Source organism: Homo sapiens, chromosome 16 (assembly GCF_000001405.40).
Source record: "Homo sapiens chromosome 16, GRCh38.p14 Primary Assembly".
NCBI classification, from domain to species: Eukaryota; Metazoa; Chordata; class Mammalia; order Primates; family Hominidae; genus Homo; species Homo sapiens.
Window position 1 is genome coordinate 78,442,618 of NC_000016.10, and position 24,376 is coordinate 78,466,993.

General features: G+C 41.8%; 1 protein-coding gene and 1 long non-coding RNA gene across 4 annotated transcripts in view; one reads left to right on the forward strand and one right to left on the reverse strand.

The window, feature by feature from the left end:
* WWOX (WW domain containing oxidoreductase) overlaps positions 1-24,376 on the forward strand; it is a 1,113,014-nt gene that overhangs the window by 342,964 nt on the left and 745,674 nt on the right. The gene's annotated exons all lie outside the window — the stretch shown is intronic.
* LOC124903728 (uncharacterized) lies at positions 19,179-22,783 on the reverse strand. Of its 2 annotated transcripts, XR_007065127.1 has the most exons (3): positions 20,126-22,783; positions 19,923-20,033; positions 19,179-19,731 (listed from the first exon to the last, which is right to left on the reverse strand). It is a non-coding gene; the product is annotated as an uncharacterized LOC124903728 (long non-coding RNA). The 2 variants fall into 2 exon arrangements; XR_007065126.1 differs by having other exon boundaries at positions 19,923-22,783.

Sequence of the window (24,376 nt, forward strand, 5' to 3'; positions counted from 1 at the left end):
CATTCTCGTAATGATGGCACTGTGTCTGTCATAGAAGGCCTAATTCTCCCTGTTAACATTGAACATAAAAACCTCATATGGGCCAGGCACAGTGGCTCATACCTGAAATCCCAGCACTTTGGGAGGCTGAGGCGGATGAATCACCTGAGGTTGGGAGTTCGAGACCAGCCTGGTCAACATTGCGAAATTCTGTCTCTACTAAAAAGATACAAAAAAATTGGCTGGCTGGTCATGGTGGCTCATGCCTGTAATCCCAGCACTTTGGGAGGCCGAGCCGGGCGAATCACGAGGTCAGGAGATTGAGACCATCCTAGCTAACATGGTGAAACCCTGTCTCTACCAAAAATACAAAAAAATTAGCCAGGCGTGGTGGTGGGGCGCGGTCGTGGGTGCCTGTAGTCCCAGCTACTCAGGAGGCTAAGGCAGGAGAATGGCGTGAACCCGGGAGGTGGAGGTTGCAGTGAGCCAAGATCGCACCACTGCACTCCAGCCTGCGTGACAGAGCGAGACTCCATCTCAAAAAAAAAAAAAAAAAAAAAAGGCTGTGTGTGGTGACTCGTGTCTATTGTCCCAGCTACTTGGGAGGCTGAGACATGAAAATCACATGAACCTGGGAGGTGGAGGTTGCAGTGAGCTGACATCGCATCACTGCACTCCAGCCTGGGTGACAGAGTGAGACTGAAAAACAAAAAAACAAAAAAAAACCCAAAACTATATGTGCAAGCCTCAGGAACCACTAAGACAGATTACACAATGCTCATCAGAACTCAGCAGGCTTCCACAGTGCAGATTTTAAGCCCTCCAGTTGCCTGTTTTACTGGCACCAAGAACACACCTTAGCTTGGAGGAAACATTGGCCACTTTCTTGTTAAAAACAAAGAGAGGGAAACTAGATCTGCCTTTGTGAGGCTGGAGCACCTCATCAATGTATTTTTTCTGCCTTGCTTTATAGTGTTTTAAATCCGCCTCGGCCTTTGTTCCTGAATGAGCACCCGAGAAGGGGAGAAAGTGACTATCTGGCCTTAGTATGTGTAACAAATTATTTAATGAACATTTAACCAAGATTTGCAATTCCCCTAGTTTTATCTTCCCGGTTTCCTTTTCTTCTGTGTGCCCGTTGGCATTTTGGTAATGTGCTGCCTCTTTATAACTCTTTGTAGCTCTTTTATTACTTTTCTTTTTTCTTTTAAGTTTGTGGTGCCTTCTTTGATCCTCCCCTCTTTCAGTTTCCTTTTCTCCAATTTCATACTTATTTCCAGTGATTTTTGGCTGCAACGCAGTTTAGATATTGGAGGCCAGCGTGATTAAACCGAGGCCAAGAGTTTGTATTGCCCCATGACGATGTTTCTGGAATGTTTCTTCTGTGAACAGTGATTTTTGTATAACTCACTGGACATGTTGATTTTTCCCTGTGAGGTGTAAGGTAATGTTTTCCTAGCAAAAACAAAGAGGGCTGAAACCTGGTGCTCAGAATCGTTTGGAAACGGAACTCCTCTCCCTCTTCTTTTTACACCAAGATAAAGAAATACTTTGCAAATCAGCTGAGCACATGTTCCCAGCTCCGTGCCGGGCTCTGTGGTCATGGGTTTCCTTCTTTATGTCTTACTCATCTAATGTAATTTTAGAGTGTGTTCTCTTTAGATAATTGTGTGTCTCTGAGCAAATCACTTATCCTCTCTGGTCCTCAGTTTTCTTATCTGTAAAATGAATCAGTTAACCAAGAATAGCCATCCCTTGGGTTAATAGAACAGTTTAACTTGAAAGGAAATAAAAAAAGGAGACTAACATGGGCCCACAGACATTGTATTTCATAAATTTTGGATGAAAACTGAACCTACCATCATTTATTAAGAGAATGGATATTTTCATGTCAGAAATTATAGGAAGGATACAGTTATGGGATGAGGAGCAATTCTTTTTTTTTTTTTTTTGAGGTGGAGTCTCACTCTGTCACCAGGCTAGAGTGCAGTGGGGCGATCTCGGCTCACTGCAAACCTCTGCCTCCCGGGTTCAAGCAATTCTCCTGCCTCAGACTCCCGAGTAGCTAGGACTACAGGCGCGTGCCACCACACCCGGCTAATTTTTTGTATTCTTAGTAGAGACGAGGTTTCACGGTGTTAGCCAGGATGGTCTCGATCTCCTGACCTCATGATCCACCCGCCTCGGCCTCCCAAAGTGCTGGAATTACAGGCGTGAGCCACCGCACCCGGCCTATGAGGAGCAGTTCTTTCAATGGAATATATTTGACTTCAGGGAGAACTCACTCAAATGCTGCTGTTACTGTTTTTCCCTTTGTTGGAAGTGATGGGGTTGTACTTGGAATGACTGGCCTAGAAAACCCTACAGGTACCATTTAAGCTCCATAGTTCTTCTGTGTGTGTTTCGGATCCCAGGTTCCAAACCTGCACTAAAACTTGTTGCTGCATCTCACCTAATCGTGTAGTGAGCCAGGTGAGCTCATCTGTGAAATGCAGACCTTTCTGGACGTACCACCTCGTGGGGTGAAGGGAAAGAAATGATACAGGTGTACATCAGGGTATAAGCTGTCCTAGAGTCTGGATTCTTTTTATCCAGAAGCCATTCTTTCAGCCTGTGCCTTTTTGTAAATACCATACCCCATCTATTTCCACAAAGGATTTGGGGCATTAGCGAGTAAAGGGGGAATATGTTCTAGAAGAAGGGCGCTCACCTCAGTAAATTGATGGGTGGGCCACAAAAATCATGTCACAAGATCTTGTTGATGTGCATGCATTCATTCATTCAACAAATATTATTGAGCATCTAACATAAGCCGGGTGCTTTGCTAGGGACAGAATGCTGTACAAGGTCCCTGTCCTCATGGGGACCGTATGTTGGGAAGACAGATGATAGGCATGGAAATGAAGAGACAAACCACTCCGACTTCAGCCCAGGAAGGAGCTTTAATTTGAGTAATTGTTTTCACTAATTCATCTTCACAGAAAGAAATAATATGATCACCTTCGGTTAGTAAACAAAACAAATAGGCAAACAGGTTTACAGGCTGAGGTGGGCTGGATCACTTGAGGCCGGGAGTTTGAAACCAGCCTAGCTAACACGGTGAAACCCTTCTCTACTAAAAATACAAAAATATTATCTGGGTGTGGTGGAGCTTTCCTGTAGTCCCAGCTACTCTAGAGGCTGAAGCATGAGAATCACTTGAACCCAGGAGGTGGAGGTTGCCATGAGCAGAGATCGTGCCACTGTACTCCAGCCTGGGTGATGGAGCAAGGCTCTGTCTTGGGGCGGGGGGCAGGGCAGGGGAGGGGGGAAAGAAGAGAAACAGCTTTACTTACGTTTTTGATGAGCCTAGCCTTTGCTGTGCTTTGGAAAATGGGCTGTGGAATTTGGCTGAAATAGTCAAATGCGTAGCTGGCTGTATGTGGACTGATAACTGGGCTTATTTTGCTTCTTTTAGATCTGGAAAGACTAAGCGCAAAATAGAAATGCTAATGGTATTGATGTGTTTTTCTTCCTTTGGTGTGATAAAAAGGTATCAGTAGGGATCATTCATAAAACTAGTTAGTAAACTATCAGTTTAATGTACAATGGTGAAGAAATACATACATCATACTTGAGACCATGTTCCAGAGAGTATTTTGTAACCTGTGACGCTCTTTTCAAGTCTTAGAGAGGAAGTATGGAAAGAGCATGCGCTTTTGACTGAGGAGGTCTTGGGTTTAAAGGTCGAATTTTGCCACTTACTTTCTCCATGGCCTTGGTCAACATCCTGAAGTCTCAGGTCCTTGTCTGCCTTTGCTTTGACACGAGATGTTGCCTGCCTCAGGCGGTTGTTGCAAGGACTAAAATCAGGAAGGCCTGGAAAGACTTGGAAGCATTTCTGTCACATCCCAGGAACTCCGTAAATGCCAGCAAGTGTTAGATTATTGTGATGATTTTACTACTCCTATTATTGATATTATAATTAATATTATAATTGTTCATTATTACCTTATAAAAATTACTTATGATATGTTTTTCTTACTATTTGGTGAACATCGAGTATAGTACCAAGTGTATACTTTTTTTTTTTTTTTTTTTTTTTTGAGGTGGAATCTCCTGTCTCCCAGGCTGGAATGCAGTGGCATTTTCTCGGCTCACTGCAGCCTCCGCCTCCCAAGTTCAAGCCATTCTCCAGTCTCAGCCTCCTCAGTGGCTGGGATTACAGGCATGTGCTACTACCCCCGGCAAACTTTTATATTTTTAGTAGAGACAGAGTTTTGCCATGTTCACCAGGCTGGACATGAACTTCTGACCTCAAGGGATCCACCTACCTTGGCCTCCCAAAGTGCTGGGATGACAGGTGTGAGCCACTGCCAATTATATACTTATTTTAGGTGTATTATGCTGTGCCCTGTGCTTTTCTTTGTTATACTGGAAGGTCATGATGGCAGGATGTCTTATTTATGCTTCTCTGTACTCTGTCCTGTCCAGTGCCTTTCAGAAGTAAGGTTTTTAGAAAGGTTTGAGTTATTTCCTGTTTTCTGAACCAGACAGGCAGAGTATTTGATCTTACAAAAATCTGGCTCAGTTCAAGTTAGCTGTGTAGCTTTGGAACGGACCCTGGACAGATGGATTTTCTAAAATTACAGAGGAAACTAGATCTGTAACTCTGTACATTTACTCCTGTGCCAGTAACAATGGCAATATTTTAATACTGTAATAAATTTTTTCTTATGCATTTGCTATAAATTAGTAAATCTGTGTAAAGCTGCTTATTGCATCATCATGTAGAATTTCTACATCCTGCAGAAGTTTAAGAAAATTGTCTTCCTTTTACAGACAAGGACACTGAAGTTTAGAAGTGCTAAGTAAACTGTCTTAGATCACTTAGCTAGCAAGTGACAGGGATGGAATTGAATCTGTATTTATCAGAGGTGAAAGTATATGTGTAATTATTCAACTACACTTAGGTAAATATCCGCATACATGCATGCCTCCCCTTAGACTCCATTGTTCCAAAAGGTAATGACAACAAAAATTAGTCGGAGGCGGAAGGAAATGCAAAAGTGGACATTTACTCGAGAAAGAATAAAGAAACCATGCAGGATTCCATTTCACAAACCTCTACAGCTGTTGCTGGGGAGTCAGTGGAGGGGTACTGGAGGAAGGCAGACTTTGTTCTAAGCTACTTAGCAGCCAAGGAAAGCAGAAGAAACTATTATTATTATTTATTATTATTATGTGAGTTGGAGTCTCCTTGTGTCATCCAGGCTGAAGTGCAGTGGCATAGTCTCTGCTTTCTACAACGTCCACCTCCTGGGTTTAATCGATCCTCCTGCCTCAGCCTCCCAAGTAGCTGGGATTACAGGCACCCACCACTACATCCAGCTGACTTTTGTATTTTTAGTGGAGACAGGGTTTCACCATACTGGCCCAGCTGGTCTTGAACTCCTGACCTCAAGTGATCTGCCTGCCTCAGCCTCCCGATGTGTTGGGATTACAGGTGTGAACCACTGCTTCTGGCCTAGAAACTATTATTAATAGAAGTTCTGGGACAACGGCCCTGCTCTCATTACTTGCCCCCAATCCATGCAATGAAATACTGGCCTGTGAGTATGTGGTCCCTTCAGCTCATTTTCTGAAGCTGACCAAAGGAGCACAGTAATGCATAACGGGGGAGTAAAATTCCTCAAGACGAGCAAAAAAGGCAGAAATTAATAAAACTCTATGTATTAGTTATCTATCACTGCATAACAAGTTACCTCAATATTTAGCAGGTTAATACAATGCACATTCATTATTTTATAGCCTTTGTAGATTAGGAACCAGCCATTGCTTAGCTGGACCATCTGCTTTAGAGTCTCACAGGCTGCATTCAAGGTGTCCACTGGGCTGGGGTCAACTTCTTACCGACAAAGCTGGTGCCCCAAAAGAATGGGGTCTTATCCTGTTGGGTGTCATGAAGCCAACACACAAAACCGAAAGTAGTGTCAAGCAGTACAGGCTTTATTCAATGGCCATGGAATTGAGAAGCAGGAGCATGGCTCACAAATTCACAAATCAGCTTCTCCACTAATGAGGGGTGAGGAAGTTAAAATATAGACTTTGTTGTTGTTGCTGTTTTAATGAAGAGGCTGGACATTAAAATCAAGGGGAGGAATAATCATGTCTTCTCTTGAAATGGGCAGTGAACTTCCCGGAACCAGAGTGTTGCCTTCCTTTTTATCCTTTTATGGCTGCTTCTGATCATTGTCATGGTGATTGTCAACTGTCTTGGCGCTGGTGAGGGGGCTGTTTAGCATGGAAATAGGATTATAATGACACCTGAGGTCTTTTTGAAGTCCTTGGGTCGGCTATCTTGCTTCTAACAAATCTCAGCTGGTCTGGTTACAGAGGGAACTTTTTATCACAGGTGTCCTGTTTCTTAAAGATAAGCAGTGTTATTACAGGGTAGAAATTCACCTATGTCAAGTAGGCATTATACCAGGTAACAATCTCAAGACTCAGCAGGGAAGGATCCACTTGCAAGCCCACGTGCTTGCTGGTAGGACTCAGTTCCTTATGGCCCAGTGGATTGAAGGCTTCCTTTCCTGCCTGGTGTTTGGTTCCTTGCCACGTAGGGATCTCCATCATGGCTGCTGGCTTTATCGAAGCATGTAAGCCAAGAAGGAAATAGAATCCATTGGTAAAATGAAAGTCACAGTTCTTTGTAATGTAACCACGGAAGTGACGTCTTACTGCTTTTGCCATATTCTTTTTGTTAGAAGGAAATCACTGAGTCTGATCGTTGTTAAAGGGGAAAGGATTTCACAGTGGTATGAATCCTGAGAGGCAGGGGTGATCAGGGCCAGCTACCACACTCTACAACTTGAATTTTGTTTTAGATTTCAGTGCCTTTTGGGGACCCTGCTACATTGTGGTAGATTTACTCACAGGACTTGATGATTTTTCTTGACCTGCCTGAAGCCATAGCATTTATTACGGATAAGTTTGTCTTTTCTTCGTTCTTTTTCTGTTTGCATCCTTTCGTCATCCTTTTCTTCCCTCTTTCTGGACTGAGAGAGGCACCAAATGCACCCATTTAAAACATATATGCATTTCTGCTTTCTGATGGGAGGTAAGATTTAGTCATTTAATAAGAAAGCTTATGAAAAGAATAAACAAACTGGTAGATAATGTATCCTAAAGTCAAGTATTTGCTTTCATGTTGCTTTAGTAGAAGGGGCCCTTGTTAATCGATGGCCCAAATTGTCTTTCTCAAGAAATGTGTATTGCAGAATTTGGATTTGAGTTACAAAAACTAGCCAGAAAGCGTGAACTTTTTTTTTTTTTAAGCCATAAAGCTTGGTAAGGCTAGCCAATCATTTCAAAGCCTGTGTAGAATATCTAGACTATATGTAATCCTAGGATTTGTTGTTGTTTTGTTATGATTTTTTTTAAGCAGGAAGCTAAAAAAAATAACCACCCGTTACTTTGCTGCTTTTAGAAAATAGGTTTGAGATTGATTTTGAATACTAAAGTATAGTTTTCATGTTATAAAGCCAACCATGTTAAAAATGTATAATAAAGTATCTAATTTAGCAAAATTCAAATTTCCCCTATGAAATATCAAGCTCTTTTTATGCTTCTTCACATGGCACCTTGTGTAGAATTTGAACCACTTTAAACATTGCATCCTTGAGTTGCATATGATGGGATCTCTTGAATCATTTACATTTTGAAAAAAGAAAGTGAAATATTCTTTAAGAAGCCAAAGTAATCCACGAGAATGTATGGTGTTTGTTCAGCTGGATATCTTATTTATTTGAAGTACTGAGAGAGAAATCTTTTCTGACTGCTCAAAACAGGGAATAATAAACAGTCAGAGTGTCCAAGTAATCTGAGCTAGAAAGTTCCTTCTTTCAGAGAAAAGTTATAAAAAGTATATTTGCCGGATCCAAAAAAAATACTGTGTATCAACTACTGAGACCTGCATAATGTTTTCTTAGTATTCTCACTCTTTAAAAGAAAAAAGAAAACCTGTAAAATTTGGGAACTTAAACTTTTTTTGATATTTTAATATTTCTAGGCAGGTGAGTGCAATAAGTCTGTTTTTTGATCTTAGAACATAACATTTCTTGTTGGCTATTGTGTGTGCTATGTGTATGATTTGTCTCTTTGTTAATTCTCTATAAATATAAAAGAGCAAGTAATGAAATTACCATGGCTGAATTCTGAATATTAACCCAGAGCAGATTTCCTCTAAGAAAGATCATAAGAAGATGCTTAAAAGAAAACATTATATTTCAAAAGAATTAGGTTCTGAAATATACCCAATAATGAAAACAATACAATTTTCTTCTGCTTTTTGTCCTTCCTGTTCCAAGCACTGGGAAGGAGCTGGCATATTTCTTATGTATGAAAAGTAGAATAATATATTGGATTCCTTTATCCCTAACCCGGAAGAGTCTTTCTTGGACTGTGGTTTGCTTTCCCGTTATACTTAAGCTTGTTTATTGCATCTTCCGATGTCACATTATCTCATTGCCAAGCTAAAGGCTCTGTTGGGTTCTTAGTTGAACCCAGAGTGGAGGCCGATTTCATCCAAAGCCATTTTTTTTAAAATTAGAAATTAAACTCACCTTTGGCAAGTCCTCCTGACCAGGGATGGGTCCTCATGTTAGTCTGTAATGTGAAGATATGAAATGTATTTGATACAATAGGAGATTCACTGTGATTTTCACTGAATGAGTATACATTCTGCAGAACTAGAAGATAAAGATAATAAAACAATTCACATTTCTTAGGACTAATTTATTTTCCACAGTCCACTACCAACATGGTGGGATGGGGAGGAGCTGAGAAGAGCATATTTGGCTGAGTTTGGTTGCAGAAGGATGCAATGTGAGGTAGCAGAAGGGGCTGTAAGAACACAGGATTTTGAAGTTGAAGAAACCAGCCTGGAATGAATCCCAGCCCTTCCTTTTAGTGACCTGCTGGCCAGCCACATTACCTCCTTGGGCTTTGGATTTTCTTTTTCACTGTAAAATGGGGAAAGTAGCTCCCACATCTTTGGGCTGTTGGTGGGAGGTGTGCAGGACACAGCTGAAACCTTTGGTGTATAGTGGATACTAAAGCAATGCTAGTCTTCTTCGTGTGCTACCAGTTAGAATGAATTTTGCTGACATCTTACTGGTTTCTGAGGGTATACAGACACTTATTGTCAAAGATATTATTGATTATCTGATCCCCAAACATATGGAGTTACATCACAGCAGGTGAGAAATACCCTTCAACTCTTGATTCTAAGGAAAATCCTTGGGGAGCCGCCATCATTCCTTCCACGAAGGAATGAAATTATAACGTAATGTATTGTTGGAGCCCTTAGTTCAACACTGTCTTTTTTCAGGTCATATTAATGCAATGGTTAGCATATCAACTTCCTTCTGTTTTTAGTGACTCTAATACATTATATTCACCTTGTTCTCTGCATGTTCTTTCTTTAAGTCATGTTAGATCCCTTTTTTGGAAGCAGGTCAAATTTGAATTAATAAAATGATTTATGTTGAAGTACAGGCATATCCCACAGAATCTCTTAATACCAGGCCAAAAGTAACTTTATCTTGATCTGTAGTTCGGACATATTTCTTGGATTGTCCGCACTCATAAAAAGAGATTGCGTAACACCCTTTGAACAAATGGATATTTGAGAACCATCCTGTCTTCAGATTTAGATTTTTTCAATTTTTTTTTACTGTCATATGATTCACATGCTAGTTACTGATTGCTATCATGCAGTCTGCCAGCAGACCAGATGGCAGATCTTTTAATTAGATATGTTTGTGTGTGTATGCATGTGTGTGTACATGTAATCACAGTTCATCAAGGACCTAATAAATACTTTTTTCTCTCTCTCTCTTTTTTTTTTTTTTTTTTTGAGACGGAGTCTTATTCTGTTGCCCAGGCTGGAGTGCAGTGGCGGATCTTGGCTCATTGCAACCTCTGACTCCCAGGTTCAAGGGACTCTCTTGCCTCAGCCTCCCGAGTAGCTGGGACTGTAGGCATGCACTACCACACCTGGCTAATTATTATGTTTTTAATAGAGACTAGGTTTTACCATGTTGGCCAGGCTGGTATCGAATTCCTGACCTCCATGTGATCGGCCTGCCTTGGCCTCCCGAAGTGCTGGGATTACAGGCATGAACCACTGTGCCTAGCCTTAATAAATACGTATTTATGTCTTTCGATCTTTTTCTGTTTTTCTACATTCCGTTTCCCCTATGGCTGCTATTGTTTTCCAGTGAGCTATTTATATATATATATACATATTTTTGAGAGGGAATCTTACTCTGTTGCCCAGGCTAAAGTACCATGTCAAGATTATGGCTCACTGCAGCCTCATGAGCCTCAACCTTCTTGGCCTAAGTGATCCTCCTCTCTCAGCCTCCCGAGTAGCTGGGATTACAGGCACCTGCCTTCATGCCTGGATAATTTTTTGTATTTTTGTGAAGACGGGTTTCATCATGTTGGCCAGGCTGCAGCTATTTATATCTTATATGTGTATTTGTAAAAAATTTATTCCTCAGCCCTGTGTGGTAGCTCACTTCTGTAATCCTAGCACTTTGGGAGGCTGAGGTGGGAGGATTACCTAAGGTCAGGAGTTTGATAATAGCCTGGCCAATATGGTGAGACCCTGTCTGTACTAAAAGTACAGAAATTAGTTGGGCATGGTAGCGGTGCCTGTAATCCCAGCTGCTTGGGAGGCTGAGGCAGGAAAATCGTTTGAACCCGAGAGGTGGAGGTGGCAGTGAGTGGAGATCACGCCACAGCACTTCAGCCTGGGCGCATGAGCGAGACTATGTCTCAAAAAAAAAAAAAAAATTTCTTATTCAGTTGATTTAAGATGGTTTATAAAGACAACATGAGCTAGCGGTAGAAATGCGAATGGACGCTTGTAGACAGTAAGGACTCAATACGTGGGTTTGTTCAAGTTATATTGTGCAGACAGGCATATGCAGTTAGAAAATCTGTCTAGGGTAGGGAGAGATAAAACCAGCTACTTCAGCCCTGCTATTTTTATCCTGAAGATTTTTTTTTTACTCTGTTTATGAATAAAACATTTTAATCAGTGCTGTATCAACACTGATCAATTTTTTTCATGGAAGTGTAATACAGGGTGAATTCCATTAAGTCAATTAAATACTTAGATCCAGTTTTTAAACAGTGCGAAGATAGTTAAGCTCTTCTTTTATTGAAAGCCTTTTTACCAAAACCATTTTTTTTTATTTTATAGTGAAGATTTCATGTATCTGTTTTCTGTACATGCCAAGTTTTACAGCTTTTTGTATCATGAGTTTTCTTTTGCATCAATTATTTCTACCAAGTCCAACTTGTAGATTGGGCAGATCTGGATTTCACCACACCTGGTTTTTGTTGTCATTGAGTTTTTGTGATGGGGTGATTTCAGTGAGAAATATATGCCATTAATTTGATGAAAAATCAGTATTTATTTATTAACTAATACCCAAGAAATTCCCCAGCAAGCCTCTTCCAGTATTCTAGAGTTTCTCGTTTCTTGAGGATTGGTCTCCGGGCATACTCCTAATCTAATTGTTTCCCAAACTTTCAATGTTTTGGATGACTTTGGAAGCCTTGATTTCTGTAGGCTGTAGCAGGACAAATTCTGATGGACAGATCAAGATGTTCTATGTTGCTCTAAAACAGCATCTCTCAAACTTTTTTGGACCACTATCTAAGTTTTTTCTGTTAAAACCCAATACATTTATACTTATGTATATTCGTGTGTGTGTGTGTGTGTGTGTGTATTATATGCATGTGTGTGTATTTGTCTGAAATAAAAGTTTTACAAAATGATACTTTTATCTGAGCAGTGTCCTGCTGTTTTTTTTCCCCTAGGTTGTGTTTTTGTGTTTTTGTTTGTTTGTTTGTTTCTTTGTTTGTTTTTGAGACAGAATTTCACTTTTGTTGCCCAGGCTGCAGTGCAATGGCACGATCTCTGCTGACCCCAAGCTCCGCTTCCCAGGATCAAGCGATTCTCCTGCCTCAGCCTCTTGAGTAGCTGGGATTACAGGCATGCGCCACCATACCTGGGGAATTTTTTTTTGTATTTTTAGCAAGGTTGTTGATCAGGCTGGTCTCGAACTCTCAACGTCAGGTGATCCATCCTCCTCAGCCTCCCAAAGTGCTGGGATTGCAGGCTTGAGCCACCGTGCCCACCTGTGTTTTTTGTTTTGTTTTTGTGTATGTGCCAATGATGACCCAGTTTCAATACCAACTGTTGCTTTCACCACCCACTATTGGTTTCACCACCCCGCTAGATCACAGTCTGTTCTTTGGCAGTCACTGCCCCAATACTGTTTGATGTGCTCCCCTCTGATAAATGTTCATTGAGTGCCCCACATGTCAGGTACTGACTTAAGGCATAGCAAATGCAAAAATGAGCAAGGTGTTCTCTTGGCTCTATGGGTGCCTACCTTAGAAGGATGGAGATGGGAAGAATGTGAAAGGGAGGTGAGATGAGCAGCACTGGGATGTGTGGCTTTTCTGTCTTGAGGATAGATAGAAGAGGAGTCAGATAAAGTTGCAGAACAGAGATGACGTCTTTACTGAGACTTGAATGATGTGTCGGAGGCAAACATGTTGACACAAACGAGAGAATTTTAGGTTCTCTTTGTAGCTGTGGCTGGGCTGGGACAAGGACGATGGACAAAGTTATGGGGGTGCTAAAAACCTCAGTAATGAAGATAAATGATATTCTAATCTAATATTTTAAAAAATCGAGGCTAGGTGTGGTGGCTCATGCCTGTGATTCCAGCATTTTGGGAGGCCAAGGTGGACGGATCACCAGAGTTCAGGAGTTTGAGACCAGCCTGGCCAAAATGGTGAAATGCCATCTCTACTAAAAACACAAAAATTAGCTGGGTGTGTGGTAGTGTGTGCCTGTAGTCCCAGCTACTCTGGATGCTGAGGCACGAGAATTGCTTGAACCTGGGAGTAGGAGGCTGCAGTAAGCTGAGATCATGCCACTGCACTCCAGCCTGGGTTAACAGAGCAAGACTCTGTCTCAAAAAAAAAAAAAAAAAAAAAAAAAAATCAAAATTGATGCAAAAAATATGATAACATTTCAAAATTTAAATCAAGACAAATTCAATATTATAGCAAAGGTTCAAGTAATGAACATGAATTTGTAATGATGCCTGGGGGAGGTGAAGGTTAAAAAAAAAAAAAAGGCCACCAAGGACCTCATGTTAAAGTTGATGATGACGGAAGTGAGCAGTGATGATGAGATTTAAAAAACTAACTTTTATTTTTACATTATTTTAACTAGTATTTGTGTTAACATTATTTTAATCTCCTGTGCACTTAAGGGAGCTGGCATAGGCCGGCAGTGGCTATAGGCCAGGACCTGTGCTATGTAGCTTATCTATTTCTCATGCTGATTCTACTTTTGTTACTACCGAAGGAGCTTAGAGGGAATCAGTGACGTGGACAAGGCTATGTAACTAAAGGGGGTGGAGGAGGATTCAAGCCCCTTGCAACGGACTGAAGTGCCCAAGCTCTAAATCCCTGCCACCCACAGCCTCTGTTGGCCCCAGGTTGTGTCTGAGATTCAGAGGTTGTTTTTATAGCAGCAACACAGTAAGTTGGGAAGAGGGACACATTTTTAACATAGACACCAAAAGAGAGGCTGGAAGAGTTGACCACTTAGAAATGTCACGAGTGTCTGTGAATAGTGTTGGGGGCTGAGAGGCAAGAGAAGAAAATAGTCCTAATGTTGTACAAGTAGCAATGGAAACAAACTTGTTAAAAAAAATTTAATTTTGTTTATGCATGTGTGCATAAACAAAGCAATAGAAAATATTTGATATTTAAGATTGAGCACTTAACAAAATACTTTGTCTCTTTTTGGTTTGCTGTCTTAAGCAATAGCCTTAAATTCTTGTCCCAGGGATACCTGATAGAGCTAATATAGAACAATATTTTAACATAATTTGAAGTATTTTTTTCTTCTGATGGGTATGTAGTTCATTTTTATAAAAAAATTTAAAAATTCTGAATCTGTGGTGTTTCTGAAACATCCTGATATATTTTTTGTTGATGACTCTTAACAAAGGATGTAAGACAGATTCTAAGAAGAGAAAAGGTAGAATATCCACATGTCTCAGTTTCATAATATGTGTAAAAATTATCATGCCCATTCATTATTTAAAGTGCTGTGGCTTTTTAGTGAATACCAACATTAACAAACCATGTTAACATGATTTAAAATATGTAATGAAATTTGCAATGCATCAGATGATGGAACTATCAAATTAGTTCACGTGGCGTTGGCTGATCACCCTTATGAAGAGTTACTTGCATTGTTTGAAGAGGGAAGATGCACATCCCCTTGTGGGCTGGCAGCATTTTTGCTAACACTGCCTTAAATGATGCTACTGGCAGGATGGTTAATTTGATGTTGAAATGTCACACAATATGTGCCCACCCTACGATTTGAATCTTCTGTGCCGTTAAGGGAATTGGCAGTGTTCAGACAGAATGGTAACATTCTCTCTGATCGTGTCTGTGTCTGCACCCTTTTTTGTTTTGTTTCTGTTGTCTTCATTAATAGACCTTTCAGGAACCTTCCTGGGATCTCAGATAACAGTTCTTCTGGAACAGGATTATCCAGAGGTAGCAAAAGCTCTCCTGCAAATATTCCATTGCACGACTTTAAATAAAGCAGCAAGAAGTCTTTTCATTCAGTTCAGATTTGCTACTTGTTCTCTTGGTTCCTTCAAAGTAATGACTAAGTACAGGTCTTTAGATAGAGAGCTGCACCAACCAGGTATTGCTTCGTGTCTTCCACGTACGTCCTGAGAAAGCGAAGGTGAATTTCACCAATTGGTAGGTGGAAATAGAAAAACTGTTGATTCTTTTTTTCATTCACCAATCTTTTTTTTCCCCAAATGCTAAGCTTTATTTGGGGAAATCTTAACAGCCGTTTTTATAAGACTCTGCATTTACAACATTTGTGGGGGCTGCAGAGGACGCACATGAAAATAACATGAACTGGCCATGTACGGTGGCTCATGCCTGTAATCCCAGCACTTTGGGAGGCCGAGGCAGGTGGATCACCTGAGGTCAGGAGTTCGAGACCAGCTTGGCCAACATGGTGAAACCTCATCTCTACTAAAAATACAAAAATTATAGCTGGGCGTGGTGGCGGGCGCCTGTAGTCCCAGCTACTTGGGAGGCTGAGGCAGGAGAATGGCCTGATCCCGGGAGGCGGAGCTTTCAGTGAGCCAAGATCGCCCTACTGCACTCCAGCCTGAGCGTGAGACTCTGACTCAAAAAAAAAAAAAAAAAAATTAGCTGGGCGTAGTGGCAGGTGCCTGTAATCACAGCTATCCAGAGGCTGAGGCACCAGAACTGCCTGAACCTGGGAGGCGGAGGTTGCAGTGAGCCAAGATGGTGCCACTGCACTCCAGCCTGGGTGACAAAAAAAAAACTTTACCTGGGCTTAGTAAGTTGCCTGACTTCTCATCCTGGAGTTCGTATCCCCTTGTTTCTAGAAGAGAAATCCCTCAGATGTGAAGGTGTGTTCCATGATTTTGTCGAACTTGCCCTACATACTGTTTTATTATATATTCTGCCCACTTCTATTCCCTGCCAATTAATTAATTGTTTCATTGGTATAGTTTTTTTTTTTTTTTTTTTTGATACAGGGTCTTACTGTGTTATTCAGGCTAGAGTACAGTGGCGTGATCACAGCTCACTGCAGTCTTGACCTCCCAGGCTCAAGCAATCCTCTGGCCTCAGCCTCCCAAGTAGCTGGGACTATTGGCAATGCCACCATGTTCGGCTAATGTTTTTAATTTTTTATAGAGACAAGGTTTCCCTATGTTGCCCAGGCTGGTCTGGAACTCCTGTGCTCAAGCCATCCTCCCACCTCAGTCTCACAAAGTGCTGGGATTACAGGTACAAGCCACCATGTCAGGCCATTGGTATACCATTGTTTTTCTTAAACATTTATTTATTTTCTTATATTTACAGCATATGTGGTCATTTAAAATTATTTTATAGCATATAAAAGTAAAAAGAATATAAATTAATTTTTTAGCATTAATATTAGGGAAGATAATCTGACATTTAAAAATACATGTCTATATGTGTATACATACATAGAAGTATATATATAAATACCAGTACTAGTGTCTGCTAATAGGTGGCGCCACTTTTTATCTGTGTGTGTTGGGGGTGGAATTAGCATGTAGAGGTTGGCAAAGGGGACAGGAGACTGTGGGATGATTAGTATATTCTTATTTGGCCTGGGAGGGAAAAAAAATCTTTCATTTCCAACAATATTCATTCTCTGTGTCACCTCAGCATTTAATTTACTTCCGTCACAAAACTACTTGAAGTTGTCCCAGGCTAGTTGGTCCTATTAATTACAACCTAGAGGGATTCTATTAGTAAACTAATGGATTACAGTACCTAAATGGAAGCCAGCAGATGACTTTGGAAGGACTGATCCGCAAGGGCCTTCTGTGTGAAGATTAAATGAAGCTTCCTTTAGCCTTCTCAGGTGGCCACAGTTTCCCATAACCTTAGAGATTATCTAGGCCAAGGCTATTAATTTAGAGATTAAGAAGCCAAACCCAGAAAGGTTGAAAGACTGTCGTAAGTTCACACTGAAAGAGAGTGGTGTAATGCCCTTTTCACCAGGCTCCAAGAAATTTGCCTATTTTATGTTTTAACGGACATGGTATCCCCAGCATTTTTAATAAATGCCCTTTTCTTGCATAAGTAACTGGATATTTCCGAGTGGCCTACAAGTGGAGCGTGATTTCATCTTTCATCAAGAGAAGCAGCTTTTCCTCCTCTTGTATCCGTTTTCTTCCTTTTCTAACTATCAAGGTCATGCGGTATCTGCCATTTTGCATATTCTTGCTTTGCTTCATGTTTTCCTTAAACTCTGTGCACATGAATATTTGTGGTATATGGCTTAATTGTAAGCGATCAGGCATCAATGGCTTTTTATGAGGCAAAATCTACTTTCTGCATTTGCGTGTGCCATTATTATAGATTGCTGATGTTTGCCAATGGATATTCTTGGAAGTCGTCTTCTGGTTTAAATGCAGTTAAGTATTTAAAAATAATACCAGTGACATGTTTGCATTTACATTCAGCCTGAAGGCCTACTTGATGCTGCAACTGAAAAATTGTTAGACTAGATTTTATTTTATTTTAATTCTTTTTGAGACAGGGTCTTAGTCTGTCACCCAGGCTGCTGGAGTGCAGTGGTGCAATCATGGCTCACTGCAGTCTTGACCACCCTGGCTCAGGTGATCCTCCCACCTCAGCCTCCCGGGTAGTTAGGGCTACAGGCACACGCCAGCACACCCAGCTAATTTTTTGTATTATTTATAGAGTTGGGTTTTTCACCATGTTGTTCAGGCTAGTGTTGAACTCCTGGGCTCAAGCAATCCGCCCACCTCGGCCTCCCAAAGTGCTGGGATTACAGGCATGAGCCACTGTACCTGGACTCCACTATGCCTTCCCCTCCCCTTCCCTCCCTTCCCCACCCTAAAGAGTCTCGCTCTTTTCCCCAGGCTGGAGTGCAGTGGCACTATCTGGGCTCACTGCAACCTGTGCCTCCCGGATTCAAGAGATTCTTGTGCCTCAGCCTTCCAAGTAGCTGGTTTTGCAGGCATGCACCACCACACCCAGCTAGTTTTTCTATTTTTAGTAGAGGCGGAGTTTCACCAAGTTGGCCAGGTTGTTCTCAAACTACTGACCTCTCCTCGGCCTTGCAAAGTGCTGGGATTATAGGTACCCCGCCTGGCTGATACTTTCCTTAGTTGTTTTCAGTGTAATAACCTGTCTTCAGTCTACTCTTTGTCCTTTTCTCTCCTTTCCTCCCTGAATACTCAAGCTTCCAGTGCACAGATTTCTCCAACCCTGAATGTGACTGATACCAACACCATACTAGCTCTTCCACAGATGCCTGTTTGTTTTGCAGAACACTGGCCTGAATGACTCAGACTTGGAGCTTGAAAGAGGGAGAACTGATGTGGCCTGTGGCAGACGTGTCCAATGACCTGCTGTGTCCTTGCTTTTGAAGAACTAAAGAGTAGACTTGACCACTTTTTAAACATGACATTCGATCCACGTGGCATAGCAAGGATGGGATCCACAAGATGGAGTGATCTTTACGCCATCCTCCTGACCATAAATACTAAATGAATACTCTATTTCAGTTGAGTTTTTAGTTTGCTCTGTTACGTGAGGACACATCACTTGCACCTCAGTGTGAGTTTGAAAGTGTTTTCTCTGGAGAATAATTCTGAAGAAATAGGCCCTCCAGATATCAGTAGTGACAGGGGTATCAGTAATGTTGATTACTAAGTTCTTGCCACAGGTAGAAGCCATGCTACTGCACAAGTTTCATACTTGAAGAGTGGACATCTGACACAGTGTTGGTGGTTGTTGAAGTGTATGACTATTACTGTGTTGCTTTGGAAGCTTGATGCCATAACAAAAGTGCAGAATTCCATGTTTGATAACTTTCTGACTTGATGAAAATGAATTGTGGATACAGATTTCACTATCCATGAATTGTGGCCTTAACTTTCTCATGTACTTACTTTAAATCAGAGAGCCCACCTGTCCAATTCTAGCTTCTCCTGGGCATCCTGTATTTGACACAGCCCCTCCCAGCATTCTGAGTCATCGTCTGCTGCTCTTGCACTGTCCGTTTTCCAAATGAGGAACTCATCGGTAAGGCCAGAAAGGAAAGGGAGAAAAAACAAACAAACAAACAAACAAAAAATAGGAAAAAAAGAAAGAGCGTATTTATAGATGGTAGAGAATTCTGGGCATGAGAAACCCAGCCAAACAAGTGGAATGTGTGCATAGGTGGGACTGCTGATCTTGTTTTATGAAAGAAATAAAGGCAAGTCAAACAGATCCTTTCGCAAGGATCCCCATGTGTGTATGTCTAACCCAGTGACAGGTAAGGCAGCCAGGAGCTGCTGTTATTTCAGTGCAAAGCTGTTTTCACAATCACAGACATGCACAGCTCAAAAACCCTCACAGGTCACGCCTGAATACCTTCAATGTGCCCCATGTAAAAATACACTGCAAGTCGATTGGACATGCCCTATGAATTATACCTTATTTATGATCGTCGAGCCCTCCCTTTTCCCGTCATGCTTTAGAATTATGGGCTGGAGCAGTTTTTAATACTCTATTTATTTTAGGGGAGGAAAATGTTTTTCTTTAACCACAACATTCATGCAATACCAACTGCTGGCAGTTTCCCCAGCATTTAAGGAAATATTGTTGTAAGACTTTTATGTTCTGTACTTCAATCAGCTAGAGCCAGCAGTATCCCAATGGAAGGACCCTCAACAGACCATTTTCAGCATTTTGCTACAATTAAACTCCTCTGGTTTTAGCCCTCAGGCAATTTAGTACCTTTTTACATATGCACATTATGAACTTTTGACCAGGGTCTAGCAGTCATATATTAGAATGCTGCTCTTGAAGGCAGGCTTAACAAGTTCCTCTGAGTATTACAGTTGGAGTCAGTTGTGGAAAAGGTAATTTAAGCAACTTGCAGCGAGGCCATTCAGAATCTCAGCGATGATCCTAAATATCTTTCTCTCTTGCTCACGCTCTTTTTTTTTTTTCTTGTTTCCTCTGGAAGCTGGTAGCAGGAGCTTTCAAAGTCTGTGATTGATCTTTTATTCAGTAGCTAACGAGGGCTGTGATTCTATTAGCGCACTACAAGGCAAGAGAACAGTGATTTAATGAAGTGTCTAGTGAGCCGGCCATAGATTTATCCTGTTGTCGCTAATTTGCAGCGCACTTGCCAGCATAAAGGAAACTGCACTCACACTGCTATTAAGCAGGTATTTCCTTAGTAAATTGTTGTAAGGTCAGGTACAGTTATCTGAGCAAAAGCAATGCCTTACCTCTTCAGTGTCTGCAAATGACAGCCGCCGTGCTGAGCGCTCACTGAAGTGGAACCGGGAGATCAGAGGTCCGTCTCCAAGTCGCCCTTAGCGGAGGCAGGAGCAGATGAACTGCCAAGTAGGAGTAATAGAGTCATAATTGGTGATTAGAACTGGAAAGGTGCAATAACATCTTAATACAAACTGGCGTATGTTATAGTTACTGTCAGTTGTTGTAAACTCGTCCTGCCGCCTGGACTAGTTACGCTTCCCTTGATTAGCTCTGAGAAACGAGGCAGCGGGCACTGGGGCAGCCACATAGACAACATCTAAATTTTTGTTGCTTTCCTGGGTCTTGCCCTGTCCTTACTGTTTCCCTTGGGCACGCTGTTCACCCCTTAGGACATACTACAGTAACCTTTTCCCACCACCGTGGGAGGACTGTGATTTTGTAAATGTCCTCTGATCTCTCCTCTTTGCAGGCGCAGTGACATTTATGCACACTGGCTTTGAGGCTCATTGATCTTTTGTTTTATTTGCCTTTGCTGAGGCAGGGGCAGGTCTTTGTTTCATGTCAGATCCGTATCCCACTGCAATTCTGTGTTACTGTAGGAGATTTGGGGTTGGCATGCCAGAGTGAAAACGCGAAAGAAAATAAACAGGCAGCACTGAGGAATTATACACTTGAGCTTGGCATTTTTCTTAACGCAGGGCTATTTTAGGTGCACTGCGCATGTTGGAGGTGCCCTTGCAGGTATAGGTAGGCATTGTCCATCCGTGGTAAAAAGCAATAGAAGAAATTCTTACCCGATGCTTAATGAATTGCCAGGCTGGTTAAAAAGGATAACCCTTGAAACCTAGGGTGTCCAACTGCTAATTTATATAGACTGGAGATATTTCCATGCCTCGCAGCAAAATTTTTCTTTAAATTCACAGAAGCAGCAGCTATCCAGCATTGTCCAGTTGTGCTGAGTAGCTGTCATTATTGATAAACATGTAACTGGTCATTTGTATTGTTTTGAGTAGGATATGGCTTATCAGGATGCATAGTAGAGAAAAATGAGATGAGGTAATGAGATCACATACACTGAAGCATCTTACGAATCTGGCACATAGTAGGTTCTCAATAAATCTTTTTTGATTCTGTGACTGTTAGAATCTGTTGGCTGATACTCTGTCATCTGGCTCTCACTCTGCTCCATAAAACTTGGGTAATTCTAATGCTTACTTCATCCCAGGGCTGATGTGTGTTAGGTTAGGGTTTATGATCAAGTAAAGAGTTTAAAGAAGTGTTTTATGAGGGAGTTTTGTTTGCAAATGATCACCTGGTAATTTAAGAGGGTGAGCTAAACTTCCTCCTTTTCTAGTATGGACCTTTGGGGCTCAGGATGAGGATGTTCAATTTGTACTGCTGGTGGAGCTGCCTTTCCATTAAGTGAGTCTTTCTCCAAGGGAACAGAAGTCTTAGGTTGTTGATCTGGCGGTCAGAACCTAGGACAGGCAAGGCAGTGGGCTGTTGTAGAGGAGATGAAGCTGATCAGAGCACACCCACACCAGTGACAACCGGTCAGGACCTGGGAAGGGCTCTGACCCATTCATCTGAGAGATGTGGCATGAGGAACACTGAGACCTAATGCTTATTGCTTAATATTGTGGACAAGGGACTCTGTGGGTTGTCTAGTACTAAGCAGAATGGAAGGGAAGGATGGAAGGAAGAGAGGGAGAGACGGAGGGAGATGGAGGATGACAGGGAGATGGAGGGAGGCAAAAAGAAAAAGGGAGAAGGAAAGAGAGGAAAGAGGGGAAGGGAGGAAGGAAAGAAGAGAGAGAAGGAGGAAGAGAGGGAAGGAGGCACAGAGGTAGAGAGGCAGGGAGATAATGGAGATCCTGGCCAAAAGTTAATGCTCCGTTTCTAGTAGTCCACAGAAAGCACCTTGACCAAGTGACTGAATACAAATCGTATCACAAACTACTAGGATTTCTTGGGTGCTTACCATGTGCCATATTTCCTTGAATCTTCATGACGATCCTTCAAGGGATCCTTGTTTTCTAAAGGGTAAAGGTGCAGGTTAGAGGCTATGTCAGAAGCAAGTCAGGATTTGAAGGCAGATCTGTCTGCTTTTGCCCCTCTGTAAATCCAGAGCTGCTGCCTCATTTCTTACGTTGCCCCCACCCGTGCAGCAATTCTTCCTGGGAGGCCTCATTGTTCATATTCATAAAGGGCCCCATTCAGTCTCCTTTTTGGAGAAATGGCCACTGCAACTCTCTGTTCTGACCTGGGGGGAAATGTTAGACCCTCAATAAGGAGAATCAGAGAAAGAAGAAATAAAACATATTACTCCATTCCCATACTTCTGTGAAGAAATACCCGAGACTGGGTAATTTATAAAGAAAAAGAGATTTACTGAACTCAGTCGTTTCACCTGGCTGGGGAGGCCTCAAAATTATGGCAGAAGGCAAAGGAGGAGCAAAGGCACATCTTACATGGCAGCAGACAAGAAAGCGTGTGCAGGGGAACTGCCCTTTATAAAATCACCAGATCTCATGAGATTTATTCACTATCAAGGGAACAGCACAGGCAGATCCCATGGCTTTGACTCAGTTACCTCCCACTGGGTCCCTACCATGACACATGGGAGTTCTGGGAACTACAGTTCAAGATGAGATTTGGGTGGGGACACAGACAAATTGTATCATAGAATCATAAAAATTGCTATTTCTAAGGCAGATGAATAATCCTGGTTGGAAATCATACTGATTTAGACTTAAAACCATTCAGCCTTCTTTACCATTTCTGAATGTGGCCCTGAGGGAGGATTTGTCTTTTGCTATTTTCTTTTTTTAAGAGATGGGGTCTTGTTGTGTTGCCCAGGCCACTCTCCAACTCCTAAGCTCAAGCAGTCCGCCTGCATCGGCCTCCCGAAGTGCTGGGATTACAGGTGTGAGCCACCACACCCAGCCTGGGGGAGGGTTTGTTAAAGAACTGTCTGTTTTATCACATGACCACAAGTTAAAATGTTGGGCAATGTCCCTGAATGATACCTTTTCATTAGTAACTCACATGGACCCATAATCTCTGAATTTAACATGCTTTTCAGGAATGTGTTCATATTTTCCACCTATAAAACCTGTTTTAGTAATTTACTCCCTTGTAAATGTTCCTTGGTATGTAAATTTAGCATATTTCCTTTTAATTGCCCAGGTAAATAATACCCACCATCAGAGGGCACCAGTAGTGTAATCACCTTATTTTTTAAAATGTATTCTGTGTTTCATGATTTTTTCTGAATAACTGATCTTTACAGTCTGAATTGCATTCTGTTGGGCTTGACTTATTTTTAAATTAAAAGAGACTAACACATTAAACACTAAGAGGTCACATAGGATATTCCATTTATATAAAATATGCAGAGTAGGCAAATTCATAAAGACAGAATACGCATCGGTGGTTTCTGGGGCGGCGGGGAGTATGGAAAGCCTGTTAATGAGTACAAGTTTCTTTAGTTTTTTTTGGTTTTTTGTTTTTTTTTTGAGACGGAGTCTTGCTCTGTTGCCCAGGCTGGAGTGCAGTGGCACCATCTCTGCTCACTGCAAGCTCCGCCTCCCAGGTTAATGCCATTCTCCTGCCTCAGCCTTCCTAGTAGCTGGGACTATAGGTGCCCGCCACCATGCTTGGCTAATTTTTTGTGTTTTTAGTAGAGACGGGGTTTCATCGTGTTACCCAGGATGGTCTCGATCTCCTGACCTTTTGATCAGCCTGCCTTGGCCTCCCAAAGTGCTGGGATTACAGGCGTGAGCCATTGCACCCGGCTATTGGGTACAAGTTTCCTTTGGGGTGGTGAAACTGTTTTGGAACTAGAGGTGATAGCTCTACAACACTGTCAATGTACTAAATGACACTAAATTGTACACTTTGAAATAATTTATGTTATGTGAATTTCATCTCAGCAAAAAGAGGCTAACACATAAGGAGACATATTTTGATACATGTGGCATATTAAGCTGCTGTTGTTGTTTTTTAAATATTCCAGCTGCGTGCAGTGGCTCACACCTGTAATCCCAGCACTTTGGGAGGCTGAGGTGGGTGGATCACTTGAGGTCAGGAGTTCGAGATCAGCCTGGCCAACATGGTGAAACCCTGTCTCTACTATAAACTCCGTCTCTACTATAAATACAAAAATTAGCCAGGCTTGGCGCTGGGTTTCTGTAATCCCAGCTACTTAGGAGGCTGAGACAGGAGAATCACTTGAACCCGAGAGGCAGAGGTTGCAGTGAGCCGATATCTCACCTCTGCACTCCAGCGTGGGCAACAGAGCGAGACTCCGTCTCAAAAAAAAAAGCACAAAAAATTTTTTTCTTCCATCTGTATCACACAGTTGCAACGTTGTAGCATGGGCAGGAAATAATTGGGTTGTATGTAATGCCCAGTAAAGTAAACAGATCTTAGAGAGGGACACCGATCCCTACCCTGCATG